The sequence below is a fragment of the Homo sapiens genome, chromosome X, assembly GCF_000001405.40.
Source record: "Homo sapiens chromosome X, GRCh38.p14 Primary Assembly".
Taxonomy (NCBI): Eukaryota; Metazoa; Chordata; class Mammalia; order Primates; family Hominidae; genus Homo; species Homo sapiens.
Genome location: NC_000023.11, coordinates 82,841,781 through 82,863,328, shown reverse-complemented (window position 1 = coordinate 82,863,328; position 21,548 = coordinate 82,841,781). Strand labels below are relative to the sequence as shown.

General features: G+C 37.6%; 1 annotated feature.

Annotated features, from left to right (window-relative positions):
- Nucleotides 15,353-15,603: a silencer, noted in NCBI's record as "fragment chrX:82102734-82102984 (GRCh37/hg19 assembly coordinates)". NCBI's record gives its function as "represses an EF-1alpha promoter that drives an FKBP-Casp9 reporter gene in an ReSE screen in HepG2 liver carcinoma cells {active_cell/tissue: HepG2}" and the evidence as "EXISTENCE:reporter gene assay evidence [ECO:0000049][PMID:32094911]".

The window sequence follows — 21,548 nt, the reverse complement described above, 5'->3', positions numbered from 1 at the left end:
TCTAAATAGTTTCTTCTAGGGTTTTTGCATAGTCATTTTACAATAAGGATTGTGATAAACAGAAATATCTGTGCTATGTTGAAATCTGCAATGAGATGCATTCTCAATCATTTGGCTCTGCATATGTCTTCAATATTTTTGTATGATTTATACATAAAAGTGACAAAGTCATTAATAGACTTATTCAGACACATTCTGGAGGAGAAATTACCAATATCCCAGCTTAAGACATTAAGGTGAACAACCACTAAGCATAACAGGGTTTCTTTACTGACCAATTATTAAAAAAAAAAAAATAAGTGAAAGTACCTCTCTCAATGTAGCTACAAGTGGGCTCCAAAAAATCATCCATGGTGGAATAGGATGTAGACATCACTAGCCTTCAAAAATATTTTTAAATTAGGAAACCGTCTTGGTTAATTCCACCCCTCCGCTTTTTCATCATTCTTATGATTTTTGGGCCATTGAAAAACTCTGTTCTGTTAAATGTATGTAAACTGATTAATACTAAACTCATATTTGAAATTTATGTAAAACATAAGATTTATATAAAGGGGGCATTTTCAACTCTTCATGGGGTGAGTTAGTTGAAGGTAAATTCAAGTTACAAAAATACATTTTTGAAGACAATCTAACAGTTAATGAAAATATGTCTATGAAATAAAGGAAATCTGAATTAAATATTTATATAGTTTAATAGAAAATATTCAATAAATGCCATGTGATGAGCCATGGGCTAGTTGCTAAGATATAAATTAGTTCAGTATTTAGAAAAAAAAAACTTAAAATGTTTGTAGGTGCATTAGTTCTGAAACCAGAGAAAAACCGAGTAATGTATGGGTGTTTCACCCTATTTACTAAAACTACTTTCATGATAAACCACAATTAAACCATTAATAGCAAACCTCACAATTTTTTACCACATGAAATGGAAATTCTATTTTTTGAAATGCTTCACCTAACTTCTATTTCAACTCCGACACATGAAGAGTTTGTAAATTTGTAAGTTGTCACTTCTGTTTTTATAATAAATAGTGGGACAAACTGAAAAGTGACAACATGTTTTGAACCACCAGACAACTGAGGTCATAGGGAAAACCACTACCTTGAGATTTGGAGAGGGAGGCACATCGAAAGATATGTATAAATTGAAATCGGCTTATCTAAATCAGAAACCACTACAGCCATAAACAAGTAGAATTACTTAAATAGTGTGATGGTTAATACTGTGTCAACTTGATTGGATTGAAGGATGCAAAGTATTGATACTGGGTGTGTCTGTGAGGGTGTTGCCAAAGGAGATTAACATTTGAGTCAGTGGGCTGGGGAAGACAGACCCACCCTTAATCTGATGGGCACAATCAAATCAGCTGACAACGAATATAAAGCAAGCAGAAAAACGTGAAAAGGCCAGACTGGCCTAGCCTCCCAGTCTACATCTTTCTCCCATGCTGGATGCTTCCTGCCCTCAAACATCAAACTCCAAGTTCTTCAGTTTTCAGACTCAAACTGGCTCACCTTCCTCCGCAAGCTTGCAGACAGCCTATTGCAGGACCTTGTGATCGTGTAAGTTAATACTTAACAAACTCCCCTTTATATATATATCCTTTTAGTTATGTCTATATATATCCTTTTAGTTATGTCTCTCTATGGAAACCTGACTAATACAAAGTGTGATCTTGATGAGTTACTGGAGGTTAAACATAGACTGGCTTGAGAGTTGAAAAAAAAAAAAAAAACAACTAGGGTGGCAGTCTTGGGAGGGCAAAATTTGGTCAGCATTTTTTCCATAGAAACCTGTCTTAATTTGTTTTGTGTTTTTATAACAGAATTCTGTAGACAGAGTAATTTATAATAAACAGAAATTTACTGGCTCAAAGTTATAGAGGCTGGAAAGTGTAAAATCAAGGTGCCAGCATCTGCCAATGGCCTTCATATTGTCATAACGTGGCAAAAGATATCACATGGCAGAAAGCAAACAGAGGATGAGAGAGAGAAAACAAGAGGGGTCAAACTTACTTGCTCAATAAAGGCATTAATCCACTTATAAGTGTGATGCCCTCAAGACCTAAATACCTCTTAAAGGTTCCACTTCTTCATAGTGTTGAAATGGCAATTACATTTCAACATGAGGTTTTGAGGGGACAAACATTTATGTAATACCAGGGCATTCCATCCCCTGATCCGCCATAACGTGTGTTCTTCTCAAGTACAAAATATTACATCCTGTCTCAATAGCTCCAAAAGTCTCATTCTATCATCAACTCCAAAGTCTAAAGTCTCATGTAAATTGGATATGGATGAAAATCAAGGCATAAGTCATCCTAAGGCAAGCTTCTCTCTAGCTGTGAACCTGGAAAATTAAAACAAAATGCTTTTATTTTACATGCTTCCAAAATACAATGGTGGGACAAGCATAGGATAGACATTTCTATTCAAAAAAAAAAAAAAAAAAAAAAAAAAGAGGCAAGGAAAAAGGAGCAATGGGTCCCAAGAAAGTCCAAAACCCAAATTGAAAAACAACACTAAACCCTAAGGCTTGCAAATCTTATTTGAGTTCAAGTTCCACCTTATAAACACATAATGAGCCTCACTTTAAAGTGTTGAAAATAACTTGGATTTTAAAGTTTAATATCCATTAAAATTTTAATGGATATTAAAAATTCTAGTGCAACCACTAAGAAAAGTAATTTTAAAGGAAGTATGATTTATTTGTTAAGAGAGGAGAGAAAATAAAAGCACGTAATGTTTTCAATTTTACCCAGAAAAGAGTGAAATGAGTAGAAGGGAAAAAAAAAGAAACAAAAAACAAAGGCACAAAATCGAAAACAGTAAGAAATATGACAGACTATAATACATTGATAATCAAGAATCACTTTAAGTGTAAATGGTCTAAATACAACAATAAAGAGACAGACTGTCAGAGTAGATAAAAACAGGATAACATTCTGTGTTGTGTACAAAACCTCAAAATATAAAGGCACAGGCAGATTAAATGTGAAGATATGGAGACATACATACTATGCTAACCCTAATAAGAAAAGAGTGAAAGTGGCTATATTGGTTTAAAACAGAGCATTGTTCAGATAAGAAAATTTATCAGAGATAAATTGGGGTATAAAATAATTATTTGAAAGGTCAGTTCTACAAGAAGACATAACACTTCTAAACGTGAATGCACCTAATAGGGGAGCATCAGTATATATGAAGCAAAATGTGGTATAACTCAAAGGAGAAATAGACATATTCACTAATCTAGTTAGAGGCTTCAGTACCCCTTTTTAAGTAATTAACAGATCCAACAGGCAGAAAATCAGTAAGAAACAATTGAATTCAAGTGCAGCATCCATTCAATTGGACATAATTTACATTTGTGGAATCCTTCAGTGGAAAAAAAAACAGAATACTTATTTTTGCTAGCACATGAGGAATGTTTAGCAAGACAAATCATACTTTAGGACACAAAATACACCTTAAGAAATATAAAACAATAGAAATCACACAAACTAGACTCTCACACCATGATAGAATTAAACTACAAACCAATAAGATAAAAATTCCTGGAAAATTCCTAAGTACTTGGAGAGTTAACACACTTTTAAGTAATACAGGGGTCAAATAATACATCTCAAAAGATATTGTAAAATATATTCAATAAAACAAATATAAATGAAACTTATTAAAATTTGCAGAATGAGTAAAAGAAGGGCTTAAACAAGACTTATACCATTGAATGCATGTAATAGAAAATAAGACAGATCCGAAATCAATAATCTAAGCTTCCATTTAAAAAACTAGAAAAAAGAGAACACATTAAATCCATTAAAAACTGGAGCAGAATTACTAACATTGAAAATAGGAAATCAAGAGAATTAAAATTAATAAAGACAAAAGATGGTTCTTTGACAACATCTATAAAATTTGTAAACTAGCCAGACTAATTAATAAAGAGGAGACACAAATTACTAATATTAAGAATAAAAGATAGTTTATCACTACTAATCATAAAAAACATAATAAAGAAACATTGTGAACAATTCTATGCCCACAAATTCAATAACCTATGTAAAATGGATCAATTCTTTTTTTTTTCTTTTTTTTTTAAATTATACTATAAGTTTTAGGGTACATGTGCACATTGTGCAGGTTAGTTACATATGTATACATGTGCCATGCTGGTGCGCTGCACCCACTAACTCGTCATCTAGCCTTAGGTATATCTCCCAATGCTATCCCTCCCCGCTCCCCCCACCCCACCACAGTCCCCAGAGTGTGATATACCCCTTCATGTGTCCATGTGATCTCATTGTTCAATTCCCACCTATGAGTGAGAATATGCGGTGTTTGGTTTTTTGTTCTAGCGATAGTTTACTGAGAATGATGATTTCCAATTTCATCCATGTCCCTACAAAGGACATGAACTCATCATTTTTTATGGCTGCATAGTATTCCATGGTGTATATGTGCCACATTTTCTTAATCCAGTCTATCATTGTTGGACATTTGGGTTGGTTCCAAGTCTTTGCTATTGTGAATAATGCCGCAATAAACATACGTGTGCATGTGTCTTTATAGCAGCATGATTTATAGTCATTTGGGTATATACCCAGTAATGGGATGGCTGGGGCAAATGGTATTTCTAGTTCTAGATCCCTGAGGAATTGCCACACTGACTTCCACAATGGTTGAACTAGTTTACAGTCCCACCAACAGTGTAAAAGTGTTCCTATTTCTCCACATCCTCTCCAGCACCTGTTGTTTCCTGACTTTTTAATGATTGCCATTCTAACTGGTGTGAGATGATATCTCATAGTGGTTTTGATTTGCATTTCTCTGATGGCCAGTGATGATGAGCATTTTTTCATGTGTTTTTTGGCTGCATAAATGTCTTCTTTTGAGAAGTGTCTGTTCATGTCCTTTGCCCACTTTTTGATGTGGTTGTTTGTTTTTTTCTTGTAAATTTGTTTGAGTTCATTGTAGATTCTGGATATTAGCCCTTTGTCAGATGAGTAGGTTGCGAAAATTTTCTCCCATGTTGTAGGTTGCCTGTTCACTCTGATGGTAGTTTCTTTTGCTGTGCAGAAGCTCTTTAGTTTAATTAGATCCCATTTGTCAATTTTGGCTTTTGTTGCCATTGCTTTTGGTGTTTTGGACATGAAGTCCTTTCCCATGCCTATGTCCTGAATGGTAATGCCTAGGTTTTCTTCTAGGGTTTTTATGGTTTTAGGTCTAACGTTTAAATCTTTAATCCATCTTGAATTGATTTTTGTATAAGATGTAAGGAAGGGATCCAGTTTCAGCTTTCTACATATGGCTAGCCAGTTTTCCCAGCACCATTTATTAAATAGGGAATCCTTTCCCCATTGCTTGTTTTTCTCAGGTTTGTCAAAGATCAGATAGTTGTAGGTATGCAGCGTTATTTCTGAGGGCTCTGTTCTGTTCCATTGATCTATATCTCTGTTTTGGTACCAGTAACATGCTGTTTTGGTTACTGTAGCCTCGTAGTATAGTTTGAAGTCAGGTAGTGTGATGCCTCCAGCTTTGTTCTTTTGGCTTAGGATTGACTTGGCTATGCGGGCTCTTTTTTGGTTCCATATGAACTTTAAAGTAGTTTTTTCCAATTCTGTGAAGAAAGTCATTGGTAGCTTGATGGGGATGGCATTGAATCTGTAAATTACCTTGGGCAGTATGGCCATTTTCACGATATTGATTCTTCCTACCCATGAGCATGGAATGTTCTTCCATTTGTTTGTATCCTCTTTTATTTCATTGAGCAGTGGTTTGTAGTTCTCCTTGAAGAGGTCCTTCACATCCCTTGTAAGTTGGATTCCTAGGTATTTTATTCTCTTTGAAGCAATTGTGAATGGGAGTTCACTCATGATTTGGCTCTCTGTTTGTCTGTTGTTGGTGTATAAGAATGCTTGTGATTTTTGTACATTGATTTTGTATCCTGAGACTTTGCTGAAGTTGCTTATCAGCTTAAGGAGATTTTGGGCTGAGACGATGGGGTTTTCTAGATAAACAATCATGTCGTCTGCAAACAGGGACAATTTGACTTCCTCTTTTCCTAATTGAATACCCTTTATTTCCTTCTCCTGCCTGATTGCCCTGGCCAGAACTTCCAACACTATGTTGAATAGGAGCGGTGAGATAGGGCATCCCTGTCTTGTGCCAGTTTTCAAAGGGAATGCTTCCAGTTTTTGCCCATTCAGTATGATATTGGCTGTGGGTTTGTCATAGATAGCTCTTATTATTTTGAAATACGTCCCATCAATACCTAATTTATTGAGAGTTTTTAGCATGAAGGGTTGTTGAATTTTGTCAAAGGCTTTTTCTGCATCTATTGAGATAATCATGTGGTTTTTGTCTTTGGCTCTGCTTATATGCTGGATTACATTTATTGATTTGCATATATTGAACCAGTCTTGCATCCAAGGGATGAAGCCCACTTGATCATGGTGGATAAGTTTTTTTATGTGCTGCTGGACTCGTTTTGCCAGTATTTTATTGAGGATTTTTGCATCAATGTTCATCAAGGATATTGGTCTAAAATTCTCTTTTTTGGTTGTGTCTCTGCCTGGCTTTGGTATCAGAATGATGCTGGCCTCATAAAATGAGTTAGGGAGGATTCCCTCTTTTTCTATTGATTGGAATAGTTTCAGAAGGAATGGTACCAGTTCCTCCTTGTACCTCTGGTAGAATTCGGCTGTGAATCCATCTGGTCCTGGACTCTTTTTGGTTGGTAAACTATTGATTATTGCCCCAATTTCAGCTCCTGTTATTGGTCTATTCAGAGATTCAACTTCTTCCTGGTTTAGTCTTGGGAGAGTGTATGTGTCGAGGAATGTAAAAATGGATCAATTCTTTGAAAGAAGCAATCTACTAAGATTCAAAAAAAATAAAAAGATAATCTGAACAGACCTATATCTATTAAATAATTTAAATCCATAATTAATAACCTTCTAAAACAGAAAGCACTAGACCCACATTGATTCACTGGTAAATTCTAATAAACATTTAAGGAAGAATAAACACTAATTTTCTACAATATCTTCCAGAAAGTAAAAAGAGCAAAGAGAATACTTCCTAACTCATTCAATGAAGCTAGCATTACTTGAATACCTAGACCAGACAATGACATTACAAGAAAAATAAACTACAGATCAATATCTCTTATGAATATGAATGCAAATATTCTCAACTAAATACCAGTAATTGAAATTTAACCACATATAAAAAGAATTATACACAATAACCAAGTGAGATTTATTCCAGGTATGCAAATATTGTTCAACATTCGAAATCAATTAATATAATCTATCACATCAATAAACTAAAGAAGAAAAATCACAAGATCATATCAATAGATGCAGAGAAAGCATTTGATAAAATACATCACTCCTTCATGATAACTAGAAATAAAGCAAATTAGAAATAAAGGGGAACAATTTCAACACGAAGGAACATCTGGAAAACCTAGAGAGTACATCAGATTTATTGTTGAAACTCTCATCTTATTGAATTAGCTAGGAGTTCCAGTACAATTATGAGTATGAATGGTGAGAGGGGATATCATTGGCTTGTCCTGATCTTAGTGGGAAAGCCTTTAATTTCAAAATTAAGAGATATAGATGATGTTGTGCTCAGCAATGACTTTTTAGATAGAGCTCTAAAAGTACGATATGTGAAAGAGAATATTAGTAAGTTGGACTTAATTAAGATTAAAAACTTCTGCTCTTCAAAATGCACTATTAAGAGAATGCAACAATAGGATACACACTGGGACAAATATTTGTAAAAATCATATCTGATAAAGGATGGGTACTCAAAATATACAAAGAAATTTTAAACCTCAACATTAAGAAAAAAATCAACCCAATTTAAAAACAGACATCTCACCAAGGAAAATACAGAGACAACAAGTAAATATAAAAATGCTCCATATAATATGTCATTAGAGGACTGCGATTTGAAAAAATGAGATACCGCTACACACCAAGTAGCTAAAAGCTAAAACACTGACAACACCAAATGGTGCAACATTTGGAAGATGTGGAACAACAGAAACACTTATTCACTGTCAGTAGAAATATAAAATAATGCAGCAACAATGAAAGACAGTTAGGCATCCTTTTACAAAACTAAATATACTCTTATAATATGGTCTAACAATCATGTTTTTTGGTGTTTACCCGAATGATTGAAAAGTCATACCCATAGATAGACCTGCACATGAATACTTACAGTGGCCAAAACTTGGAAGCAAGCAAGATGTTATTCCATAGGGGTATGGATAAACAAACTGTGGTATATTCATACAATAGAATATTATTTATGTATAAAAATAAGTGAATTATCGAAACACAAAATGCATAGCAGTAACTTAAATACACATTGTTGAATGAAAAAAAGCCAACCTGCAAAGGGCACATTCTATATGATATCATCTCTATGACATTCCAGAAAAGGCAAATCACAAAGAAAGTAAAATGACCAGTGATTACCAGGGGTTAAAGGGTGGGGTGCCGGATGAATAGGTGGAACATGAGGGATTTTTAGCGCAGTGACACTATTCTGTATAACATTGTAATGGTGAATAAATGTGATTATACATTTGTGAAAACCTGCAGAATGTACAGCAACAAGAGTGAACCCTACTGGAAAGTATGGACTTCAGTAATAATTATAGTGTATCAATATTGGTTCATTAATTGTAACAAATGTACTACCCTAAGGAAAGATATCATAAGTAGAAAAAATTATTAGTGTTGACGGTGATGGTGACAGGGTATATAAACCGTTTGAATTTTCAGCTCAATTTTTCTGTAAACCTAAAACTGCTCTAAAAATGCTACTAATTTAAAAAGGATATATTCGTAAAAAGGATTTAGAAATCAATTACCTAAGCTTCCATCTCAGGAAACTACAAGAAGAACAAATGAAACCTAAAGCGAGCTGAAAAAAAAATTTACTACAAATTCAAGCAGAAATCCATAAAATAAAAACTAGGAAACAATAGAAAAGCCAGTAAAACCAAAGGCTTGTTCTTTGAAAAAGAATGACAAAAGTTGCAAATTTCTAACCAGTTAACCAAGAAAAAGAGAGAGAAGACATAAATTATCAAAATCAATAATCAAAGAAAGGTCATCACTATTAATTACGTTGACATTAAATGGATATTAAAGAAGTACTCTGAACAACTCTATATTCACAATTCGATGATGGTACAACGGACATTTTTTAGGCTACAATAGAATATTATCAACTATAGTCCTCATGCTATGCATTAGAGCTCTAGTCTTATCCTATGTAACCATAACTTTGTACCCTTTGACCTACTTTTCATTCCCCCCACCATCCCTAACTCTTGTAATCACCTTTGTACTCTCAGTTTCTATGAATTTGTTTATTTTATTGGATTTCACAAATAAGTGAGATAATTATTTTTCTCTTTCTCTCTGTCTTATTTCGTTTAGCATATCCTCTGGTTTCAGCAATATTGTTGCAGGTGTCAGGATCTTATTTTTTTAAGACTGAATATAGGTATTTCATTGTATTATTGCATATTTTATATATATTTTATTGTATATATATATATTCTCCTTCAGCTATTTATCTGTTGACAGACACTTAGGTTGTATTCATATCTTGGCTATTATGAATAATACTGCATCAAACATGGGAGTTGCAGATCTTTATAAGGTTCTGACTTCAGTTTTTCAAGTGTATACTCAGAAGAGGAAGTGCTGGCCATATGGTAATTCTAATTGAGGTTCTTAAGGAACCTCCATATTGTTTTCTGTATTGACTATATTAATTACATTTCCACCAATAATAATAAGATTACCTCTTCTCCACATCCTCGCTAACACTCGTTATCTTTGGCATTTTTAATAGTAGCCATTCTAATGTTTGTGAGGTGATATCTAATTGTGGTTTTGATTTGCATTTCCCTGAAGATTAGTGATATTGAGCAGCTTGCATATACATCTGCTGGATATTTTAACATTGTCTTTGGATAAATAAATAACGTATTTTGAAAATTATTACCTGCAGTATTATATTAAGAATTCTGGTGCGTCGTGGGCAAGATGGCTGAATAGGAACAGCTCAGGTCTGCAGCTCCCAGCGAGATCAATGCAGAAGGGGGGTGATTTTTGCATTTCCAACTGAGGTACCCAGCTAATCTCACTGGGACTGGTTAGACTGTGGGTGTAGCCCATGGAGGGCGAGTTGAAGCAGCCTGAGGCATTGCCTCACCCAGGAAAGGCAAGGGGTTGGGGAACTCTCTCCCTTAGCCAAGGGAAGCCATGATGGACTATGACATGAGGAATGGTGCACTCTGGCCCAGGTACTACACTTTTCCCACAGTCTTCACAACCTGCAGACCAGGAGATTCCCTCGGATGCCTATGCCACCAGGGCCCTGGATTTCAAGCACAAAAGTGGGGGGCCATTTGGGCAGACACTGAGCTAGCTGCAGGAGTTTTTCTACATACCCTAGTGGTGCCTGGAATGCCAGCGAGACAGAACCATTCACTCCCCTGGAAAAGGGGCTGAAGCCAGGGAGCCAAGTGGTCTAGCTCAGGGGATCCCAACCCCATGGAGCCCAGCAAGATAAGATCCACTGGCTTGAAATTCTTGCTGCCAGTAAAGTAGTCTGAAGTCAACCTGGGACACTTGAGCTTGGTAGGGGGAGGGGCATCCACCATTATTGAGGCTTGAGTAGGCTGTTTTCCCATCATAGTGTAAACAAAGCCACCAGGAAGTTCAAACTGGGCAGAGCCCACAACAGCTCAGCAAAGCTGCTGTAGCCAGACTGCATTTCTAGATTGCTCCTCTCTGGGCAAGACATCTCTGAAAGAAAGGCGGCATCCCTAGTCAGGAGCTTATAGAAAAAACTCCCATCTCCATGGGACAGAGCACCTAGAGGAAGGGGTGGATGAGGGCACAGCTTCAGCAGACTTAAATATTCCTACCTGCCACTTCTGAAGAGAGCAACAGATCCCCCAGCACAGTGTTCAAGATCTGCTAAGGGACAGACTGCCTCCTCAAGTGGGTCCCTGACCAGATGGATTCACAGCCAAATTCTAACAGAAACACAAAGAGGAGCTGGTACCATTCCTTCTGAAACTATTCCAGACAATAGAAAAAGAGGGAATCCTCCCTAACTCATTTTATGAGTCCAGCAACAACCTGATACCAAAACCTAGCAGAGACACACACAAAAAAGAAAATTTGAGTCCAATATCCCTGATGAACATCAATGTGAAAATCCTCAATTAAACACTGGCAAGTCGAAGCCAGCAGCACATCAAAAACCTTGTCCACCATGATCAAGTCAGTTTCATCCCTGGGATGCAAGGCTGGTTCAACATACCCAAATCAATAAACACAATCCATCACATAAACAGAACCAATGACAAAAACCACATGATTATCTCAATAGATGAAGAAAAGGCCTTCAACAAAATTCAACAGCCCTTCATGCTAAAAACTCTCAATAAACTAGGTATTGATGGAATGTATCTCAAAATAATAAGAGGTATTTATGAAAAAATCACAGCCAAAATCATACTGAATGGGCAAAAACTGGAAACATTCCCTTTGAAAACTGGCACAAGAAAAGGATGCCCTCTCTCACCACTCCTATTCAACACAGTGTTGAAAGTTCTGACCAGGGCAATCAGGCAAGAGAAAGAAATAAAGGGTATTCAAATAGGAAAAGAGGAAGTCAAATTGTCCCTGTTTGTAGATGACATGATTGTATATTTAGAAAACCCCATCGACTCAGCCCAAAATCTCCTTAAGCTGATAAGCAACTTCAGCAAAGTCTCAGGATACAAAATCAATGTGCAAAAATCACAAGCATTCCTATACACCAATAACAGACAAAAAAAGAGCCAAATCATGAGTGAACTGCCATTCACAATTGCTACAAAGAGAATAAAATACCTAGGAATACAACTTATGAGGGATGTAAAGAAACTCCTCTATGAGAACTACAAACCACTGCTCATGGAAATAAAAGAGGACACAAAGAAATGGAAGAACATTCCATGCTCATGGATAGGAACAATCAATATCAGGAAAATGGCCATACTGCCCAAAGTAATTTATAGATTCAAGGCTATCCCCATCAAAATACCATTGACTTTCTTCACAGAATTGGAAAAATCTACTTTAAAGTTAATATGGAACCAATAAAGAGCCCACAAACCCAAGACAATCTTAAGCAAGAAGAACAAAGCTGGAGGCATCACACTACCTGACTTCAAACTATATTACAAGGCTATGGTAACCAAAAAAGCATGGTACTGGTACCAAAACAGATATATAGACCAAAGGAACAGAACAGAGGCCTCAGAAATAAAACCTCTCATCTTTGACCACCTGATCTTTGACAAACCTGACAACAACAAGAAATGGGAAAAGGATTCCCTATTTAATAAATGGTGTAGGGAAAAACTGGCTAACCATAAGCAGAAAGCTGAAACTGGATCCCTTCCTTACACCTTATACAAAAATTAATTCAAGATGGATTAAAGACTTAAATGTTAGACTGAAAACCATAAAAACCCTAGAAGAAAGCCTAGGCAATACCATTAAGGACATAGGCATGGGCAAGGACTTCATGACTATAACACCAAAAGCAATGGCAACAAAAGCCAAAATTGACAAATGGGATCTAATTAAACTAAAGAGCTTCTGCACAGCAAAAGAAACTACCATCAGAGTGAACAGGCAACCTACAGAATGGGAGAAAATTTTTGCAATCTACTCATCTGACAAAGGGCTAATATCCAGAATCTACAAAGAACTCAAACAAATTTACAAGAAAAAAAAACAAACAACACCATCAACAAGTGGGCAAAGGATATGAACAGACACTTCTCAAAAGAAGACATTTAGGTAGCCAAAAGACACATGAAAAAATGCTCATCATCACTGGCCATCAGAGAAATGCAAATCAAAACCACAATGAGATATCATCTCACACCAGTTAGAATGGCGATCATTAAAAAGTCAGGAAACAACAGGTGCTGGAGAGGATGTGGAGAAATAGGAACACTTTTTCACTGCTGGTGGGACTGTAAACTAGTTCAACCATTGTGGAAGAGAGTGTAGTGATTCCTCAGGGATCTAAACAAGAAATACCATTTGCCCCAGCCATCCCATTACTGGGTATATACCCAAAGGACTATAAATCATGCTGCTATAAAGACACATGCCTACGTATGCTTATTGCGGCACTACTCACAATAGCAAAGACTTGGAACCAACCCAAATGTCCAACCATGATAGACTGGATTAAGACAATGTGGCACATATACACCATGGAATACTATGCAGCCATAAAAAATGATGAGTTCGTGTCCTTTGTAAGGACATGGATGAAGCTGGAAACCATCATTCTCAGCAAACTATTGCAAGGACAAAAAACCAAACACCACATGTTCTCACTCATAGGTGGGAATTGAACAATGAGAACACGTGGACACTGGAAGGGGAACATCACATACCGGGGCCTGTTGTGGGGTGGGGGGAGCGGGGAGGGATAGCATTAGGAGATATACCTAATGTAAATGACGACTTAATGGGTGCAGCACACCAACATGGCACATTTATAGATATGTAACAAACCTGCACATGGTGCACATGTACCCTAGAACTTAAAGTATAATAAAAAATTTTAAAAAAGAAAAAATAATAAAAAAGAAAGTTTAATCCAATTTAAAAATTAACTTGTGTACTATAGTTACATATTTAGAGAATTTATTAAGTAAAAATGCCTCTCTTAGTCCAGTTAGTCTTTGTATGGAGAAACACCTGTAGTATAGCTGGATAGTTTATAAAGAAAAGTGGTTTATTTCTCTCATGATTCTGCTGGCTGGAAGACTGGACATATGTTGAAAGCCTCAGGCTGTTTCCACTTATGGTGGAAGATGAAAGGAAGCAGGCATATGCAGAGATCACGTGGCTAGAGAGAATATAAAAGAGAGAGTAGGTTCCAGCCTGCTTTTAATAACCAGACCTCATCGGAGATAACAGAGTGAGAACTCACCCCCACCTGGGGAAGGCATTATTTATTCATGAGGGATCCGTTCCCTTGACCCAACCTCCCCCCAATAAATCCCATCTTTAACATCAGGTGTCTAATTTCAACATGATGTTTGCAGGGGACAAACACACTAACTATAGCATTCCATCCCTGGGTCCCCAAATATCATGATCTTCTCATATAGCAAAATACAATCATCCATTTTCAATAGTCCCCAAAAGTCTTGTTTTAACATCAACTGAAAAGTCCAAAATCCAAAGTCTCATCTGAAACTGAAAGTATGTTTCTTTCAGCTATAAACCTGTAAGTCAGGGACCAACTGTACAGTCAAGTTGTTTTTCTTCAAATCACAATCACTATTTAATTTTAAAGAAAAAAGTCTGAAAGTATCCATAGCTGAATAATTTTTTAGTTGTTATATCGAGCAGAAATGATATTCAAAACAAAAAGGTGGCTATCTCCACTTTCAGTTGAGTTTCACAAGTCCTCTTCCTTGAGTTGGGCGTGGTACTTCCTTAGGCAGTAGCAATGCTTTGTGTGTACTTGCCGTTTCATTACATAGGATACTAAATACATATTTTTAAAAATTGGGGTGGAAGAAAATTGACATTTTTTGTTGTTCATCAAGAATATTCTTAAATGAATCTGCCTTTTAATTTTTCTGAGACTGTTTAGAGGTGGAAAATATGACTACTAGGACAATTTAATGTCACTGCCTAGGTTTGTCTTGAGGTCATCTGCAAATGTCACCACAATGAAAAAAACAATTATCTTAATATTACTATGAAATTAGGTTTGACCTTGCAGAGTACGTAGAAGTACCAGGAATACCCAGTGTACCTGGTCCAAACTTTGAGAACTTCCACTCTAGAGAAGTGCTTCTTAAAGATTAATGTGCATAAAATCACCCGGTGTCATGTTAAAATTCAACGTGTGATTCAATAGGTCTGGAATGGGGCCTGCAATTCTGAGTCTCTAATAAGTTTCCAGATAATGGCATACTACTGGTCACTGACCACAGTTTGTGTAGCAGGGCTCAAGAGTACCCGCCATTAACTATTTCAAAAGTAACTCCAATTTAGACATTTTATTTATTCCTGTGATCAAGTAGATTTAGTATTATTTTGGTGCTTGTACTGATAGTAAATCTATTCATATAGACAAAATTATACAAAAATATAAGACCCTGTTAATAATGTTGAAAATCATTTTAATAAAAATCCATTATTTTTAACTTTATATTTTCTTTAACTTGACCAAACTTTTAAATATTTTATTAATGCATTTATGTAATAATAAGTAACAATAACCATGAAAACACATTTGAGGTGTGAGTGATACTTTTGCTTTTTTTTTTTTTTTTTTTTTGAGATGGGATCTCACTCTGTCATCCAGGCTCAGTTGCAGTGGTATAATCATGACTCAAAGCAGCCTTGATTTCCTGAACCCAAGCAATCCTCTCACAACAGCCTCACAAGTAGCTGGGACTATAGGTGCACACCACAACATCTGGCTGACTTTTTCTTTCTGTGGAGATGAGGTCTTTCTATTTATCCCATATTGGTATGTAACTCCTGAGCACAAGTGATCCTCCTGCCTCAGCCTCCCAAAGTTCTGGGATTACCAACACAAATCACTGTACCCAGCCTTTTTTTTTCTAATACACATTAAATGCTTAATTGTTTAACAAACAAAACGTTGCTCAGGTATCTTCTAAAAATCATCTGTCTTACCAACAGTGGTAGACTTACCAAGTTTTGGGAACATTGAAGTATTTATTCAAGATTGTACTAAAATGTAATAAGTAAAACACAAAAAAAACTCCAATTCTATAATAAAAATCATTAGACTAAATTTGGATGAGAATTTACACTTCTGAGATAGCAGCATTTTCTAGCTAAAATCTCTTCCCATTCAAAGTGTCTACTAGTCCTATGAAAATTTATAAAATGAATGAATATTTATTTTCAATGAATGGGTCCTCTCACTACTCATTTGTCAGGTAAAAATGACAGCAAACTTTCCTCAAACCCCAGCATAAAGAATTGCCAGCCACATTATTGTGGAAAGAGGTGTGATCACTGAAATAGATTGCATTGAGACAAAACACATGGCCTGGCACCTCTCAGTGTATTAGTCCATTCTCACTCTACTATAAAGAAATCCCTGAGACCGGGTAATTTATTAAAAAAAAAATAGAGATTTGATTGGCTCATGGTTCTTTCTGCTGTATAGGAAGCATTGTGTCTTCTGCTTCTGGGGAAGGCCACAGGAAACTTCCTATCATGGCAGAAGGCAAAGGGGGAGCAAGTTACTTCACATGGCCAGAGCAGGAGGAAGTGGGAGGGAGTGGTGTTACACAATTTTAAACAACTATATCTCACAATAACTCACTCACTATCATGAGTACAGCATCAATGAGATGCTGCTAACCATTCATGAAGGACCACCCGCATGATCTAGTCACCTCCCAGTAGGCCCCACCTCCAACATTGGTGACTACAATTGAATATGAGATTTGGGTAGGGACACAAATCCAAAGTGTGTCTTACCACCACTTACCCCTCCCAAATCTCATATCCTTCTCACTTTGCAAAATATAATCATGCTTTCCAAACAGTCCACCAAAGTCTTAACTCATTTGAGCATTAACTTAAAAGTCCAAATTCCAAAGTCTCAGCTGAGACAAGGCTAGTCCCTTTCAACTATGAGCCTATAAAATCAAAAGCAAGATAGTTACTTCCAGGATACAATGGGAGTATAAGCATTGGGTAAAGACTCTTATTCTAAAAGGGATAAATCAGCCAAAAGAAAGGTGCTACAGGTCTCATAAAAGTCTGAAACCCAGCAGGGCAGCCATTAAATCTTAAAGCTCCAAATTAATCTCCTTCGAATCTGTGTCCCACATCCAGGGCACACTGATGCAACAAGTGGGCTCCCAAGACCTTGGGAAGCTCAATTTCTGTGGCTTTATAGGGTTCAACCTCTGTGGCTGTTCTCATGGGTTGGCATTGAGTGCTCATGTCTTTTCCAAGCACAAGGTGCAAGTTTCTGGTGGATCTGTCAATCTGAAGTTTGGAGGACGGTGGCCCTCTTCTCACAGGTCCATTAGGAAGTGCCAGAGTTGGGACTCTGTGTGGGGGTTCCAACCCCACATTGCCCCTCTACATTGCTCTAGTAGATGTTCTCCTTGAAGGCTCCACCCCTGCAACAGGCTTCTGCCTAGACATCAGACTTTTCCATACATCCTCTGAAATCTAGGTAGATGCTCCCAAGCTTCAACTCTTGCGTTCTGCTGTGGGAGCACCCGCAAGCTTAACACCACTTGGAAGCTTCCAAGGCTTATGACTTGTATCCTCTGAAGTAGTGGTCCAAGCTGTACCTAGGCCCCTTTGAGCCATGGGTAGAACTAGAAAGGCTGGGATGCAGGGAGTAGTGCCCAAGGCTGTGCAGGGCAGTGGGTCCCTGAGCCTGGCCCATGAAACTATTCTTCTCTCCTAGGCCTCTGGATGTGTGATGGGAGGGGCTGCCACAAAGTTCTATGAAATACCTTTGAGGCCTTTGTCACATAGTCTTGGTTATCAGCACTTGACTCCTTCTTACTTACGCAAATTTCTGCAGCCTGCTTAAAATCCTCCCCGGACAATGGGCTTTTCTTTTCTACCACAGAGCCAGGCTGCAAATTTTCCAAAATTTTACACTCTACTTCCCTTTTAAATATAAGTTCTGACTTCAGATTATTTCTTTGCTGCTTCGAAATTCCTTCCAGCAGATACTCTACCTAAATAATCTCTCAGGTTGTAAGTACCACAGATCCCTAGGGGAGGAGCATAATCTAACCAAGCTCTTTGCCAAGGTGTAACAAATATGACCATTGGTCTAGCTCCCAATAAGTTACTCATCTCCTTCTGAGACCTCATCAGCCTGGACGTCTCCAACCATATCACTATCAGCATTTTGGTCACAACCCTTCAACAAGTCTCTAGGAAGTTCCAAATTTCCCCTCTTCTTCCTGTCTTCTTCTGAGCCCTCCAAACTCTTCCAACCCCTGTACATCATCAAGTTCCAAAACTGCTTCCAAATCATCAGGTATCTTTATAGCAATGTCCCAGTCGTTGGTACCAATTTTCTGCATTAGTCCATTCTAGCATTGCTATAAAAAGATGCCTGAGACTGGATAATTTATAAAGAGGCTTAATTGGCTCTTGATTCTGCAGGCTGTACAAGAAGCATTGTGGCTCCTGCTTCTGGGGAGGCCTCAGAAAACTTCTAATCATGGAATAAAGCAAAGGGGGAGCAAGTCACTTCACATGGCTGGAGCAGGAGGAAGAGAGGAGGGGATGTGCTAGAGACAAATAACTGGATCTCAGAATAACTCATTCACTATCATGAGAACAGCACCAAGGAGATGGTGCCAAACCATTCATGAAGGACCACCCTCATGATCCAATCACCTCTTATCTGGCCTTACCTCCAACATTAGGGATAATAATTCAACATTTGATTTGAGTGGGGACTCAAATCCACACCATATCAGCCCCCATCAGATGTTTTTTAGTATCCCCACCACTGTTAAACGTCAGGATATCAACAGCTGAATACACTTGTCTGGGATTAAACCTGTTTCTTATGAGTCCCTGCAGGTGTCAGAGGAGGAGACCATAAGCTATACCTGTAAACCTCTGAAAGCCCTCACTACCTATTTAAAAGAATCAACAGTCAGCAAAAAGAGGTAACTTGATACTGCAGGTGGGCATAAGAACATTATTTTTCTTTTCTTACTGATTATGATATGTGTTTTCTGTTGCTTTAGCTAACCACCTCCTCCTAGGAAACATTTACTTTCTCCTTGTTGGGTATAAAGGTCACTCTAAGGCCAATACAGACACCATGCTGCCTCTGTTAATTATGTTTGCTCTCTCAATTAACCTAATCCTGTATGGCTAGGAACAAAGCTCTGCAGTCTGGATCTGTCATCAACATCCCCAGGATGGATAGTTTCATCTTCTGGCACATTCAGAGAATCTCATGGTCATGTTCCCAAACCTCCTAGTTAACCATAGCAATCCCAAAGTACCCAGACCCCTACTTATTATGTGGAAATCTTCCCCACTTAATCGATTCTACCTAACTTCCCCTGCCAGTGTTATCTGGACATGGGAGGTTGGGAACTTGTACCTCCATTGCATTCATGACACTATTATTTGCACCCATTGTTTTGTTAATGATGCAGAAATGGAAGTTTCCTTGAGATGCTCTGATGCAAACCTAGTGGCCATGTTCCCAAAGCTGTGGTGAGGTAAATGGGATCCCACTTGTCAGCAAGGAAACCTTACATAGTGCCTCCTCCAAAGGAATACATGCAAGGGAGAAACAACTGCCTGATCTGGGAAGGTGGAATGACTGTATCCTTCTGGAAAATAAGGGCTGTTCAATCACCCTCATTGGAGTTTGGAAAAAAATATCTCTATAAGTCCCAGATGGCAGTAGAGAATACACATCATACCCCAAGGAGCCTCCATTTGTGCCTCAAATGGACTCATTTTTGTCTATAGCCATGAGTAGGAAGAAGTTCCACCCAGTGACCACTCCTGACTCCTTGGGTAGCCCTCTATTCTTTTAGGAGTAGCTTTCCTTTTTATATCAAAAACATGGAGCAGGAGTGAATGTACATTGGCCACCATTGCTCCTCTGGGGGTCACTGTCTACAACCCCATAATAACTGAAAATACCAGAAATCAATGAGCAATAGGATTAATTCTGGTAGAAATCAAAGCAATAATAGGACTAATGGTCCCTTTGGGTGGCTTTGCCTGCCACTAGTCAACCCCAAGGAATTTGACTTAAGCCCTAGAATCATTGACCACTAACACAGGACAGGGACTAAATGGAATTCAAGAGTCCCTAGACACTTTGGCAAATATAGTCCTTGACAACAGACTAGCATTAGATTATTTGCTGGCTATTCAAGGTAGAGTTTATGTAGTTATTAATAAGATACGCTACACATATATTAAAACTCTGGAAAAGTTGAGATTAACATTCAAAAAATAATTCAACAAGCTACCTGGTTCCACAGATGTAGCCAGGGTTCTGACCCCAACTATATCTGACTATCAAAAGTGCCCTCCAAAGTCTCACCTGTTTTTTTTTTTTTTTTTTTTACCTTCCTAAGATCTTTAACAGCTATCCGGTTACTACTAATTTGAGGCCTCTGCTTATTTAAACTCCTTGTAAATTTTGTGTCTCCTAGAATGCAAAGTTCCATGTCAATATAATGCTAGTAGAAGGCTTCCAACCATCTTGCTTTCTGACCCAGAAAATGAAAACATCCTGCCTTTGAGCCCCTTAGATCAGGTACCCAGAGATTTTTACTCCTCCAATACTCACCAGAGCCAACATCCATAAAATCAGCAAAAAACAGCTACAGAAGCTAGACCTCCATGTTTCTACAATCCCTTAAGATCATGGAGGAATATATAATGTCAGAGGAGGTGATAAGACAGAAATTTGGCATGACTTGTTTCTCAAGACACAGGTCACAAAAACCCCACTGATAAAATAAAATGCAGTAAAGATGCTGGCCAAAACCAGCCAGAATCAAGACAACAATAAAAGCAACCTCTTCTTCTTACTGCTCATTATATGCTAATTATAATGCATTAGCATGCTAAAAGAAACTCATGCTAGTGTCATGACTGTTTATAAATGCCATGGTAATGTCCAGAAGTTACCCCATATGGTCTAAAAGGGGAAGCAACTCTCGGTTCTGGGAATTCCCTGCCCAATTCCTGGAAAACTCAAGAATAATCCACCCCATATTTAGCATGTAATCACATAATAACTATAAATATGGCTTGCCAGCAGCTCAGATGTCACTACTTTGGATGCACTGCCTATGGGTTAGCCCTGCTTCATGAGGTGCAGTCATTCTAGTGTACACTGCTGCTTCAGTAAATCTGCTTTCTTCCACCAGCAGCTCACTCTTGCATTGTTTTCTGAGTGAAGCCAAGAGCCTTCCTGGGCTGAGGCCCAATTTGGGGACTTGCCTGTCCTGTCTCAAAATTATAAGTAGCAGCTTCTTGTAATCATTGGTTGACACACTGTTCTCCTGTGTAACTCCTATGAAGAGAGAAGGATATTCTTTTACCTAGTTCATGGAAGATGAAGGTAGAAAGTCTTAAAAGTACAAGCAACCAAATCAGTAGTTAAGAAGCACAATTGATGTGAGAAGCTTTGATATTACCTTATCTTTAGAGGAAATATTTTACTTCCGTTATCCTTTTTTAATAGGAAAAAGGGCATACAAATGTATTTAACATGTGTACACGGTAGCCTTCAGAATGAAGACTCAACTTCCCAATGATTGAGAGAAACCTATATAATTTTGAGGTTACAGAAAGAATGGGGGCTTAGATTTTAATAAAGTAGGCTATGGGCAGGGGAGAAGAGGCTTGGCAAGCAGCGGTGGTCTTGTTATATTGATG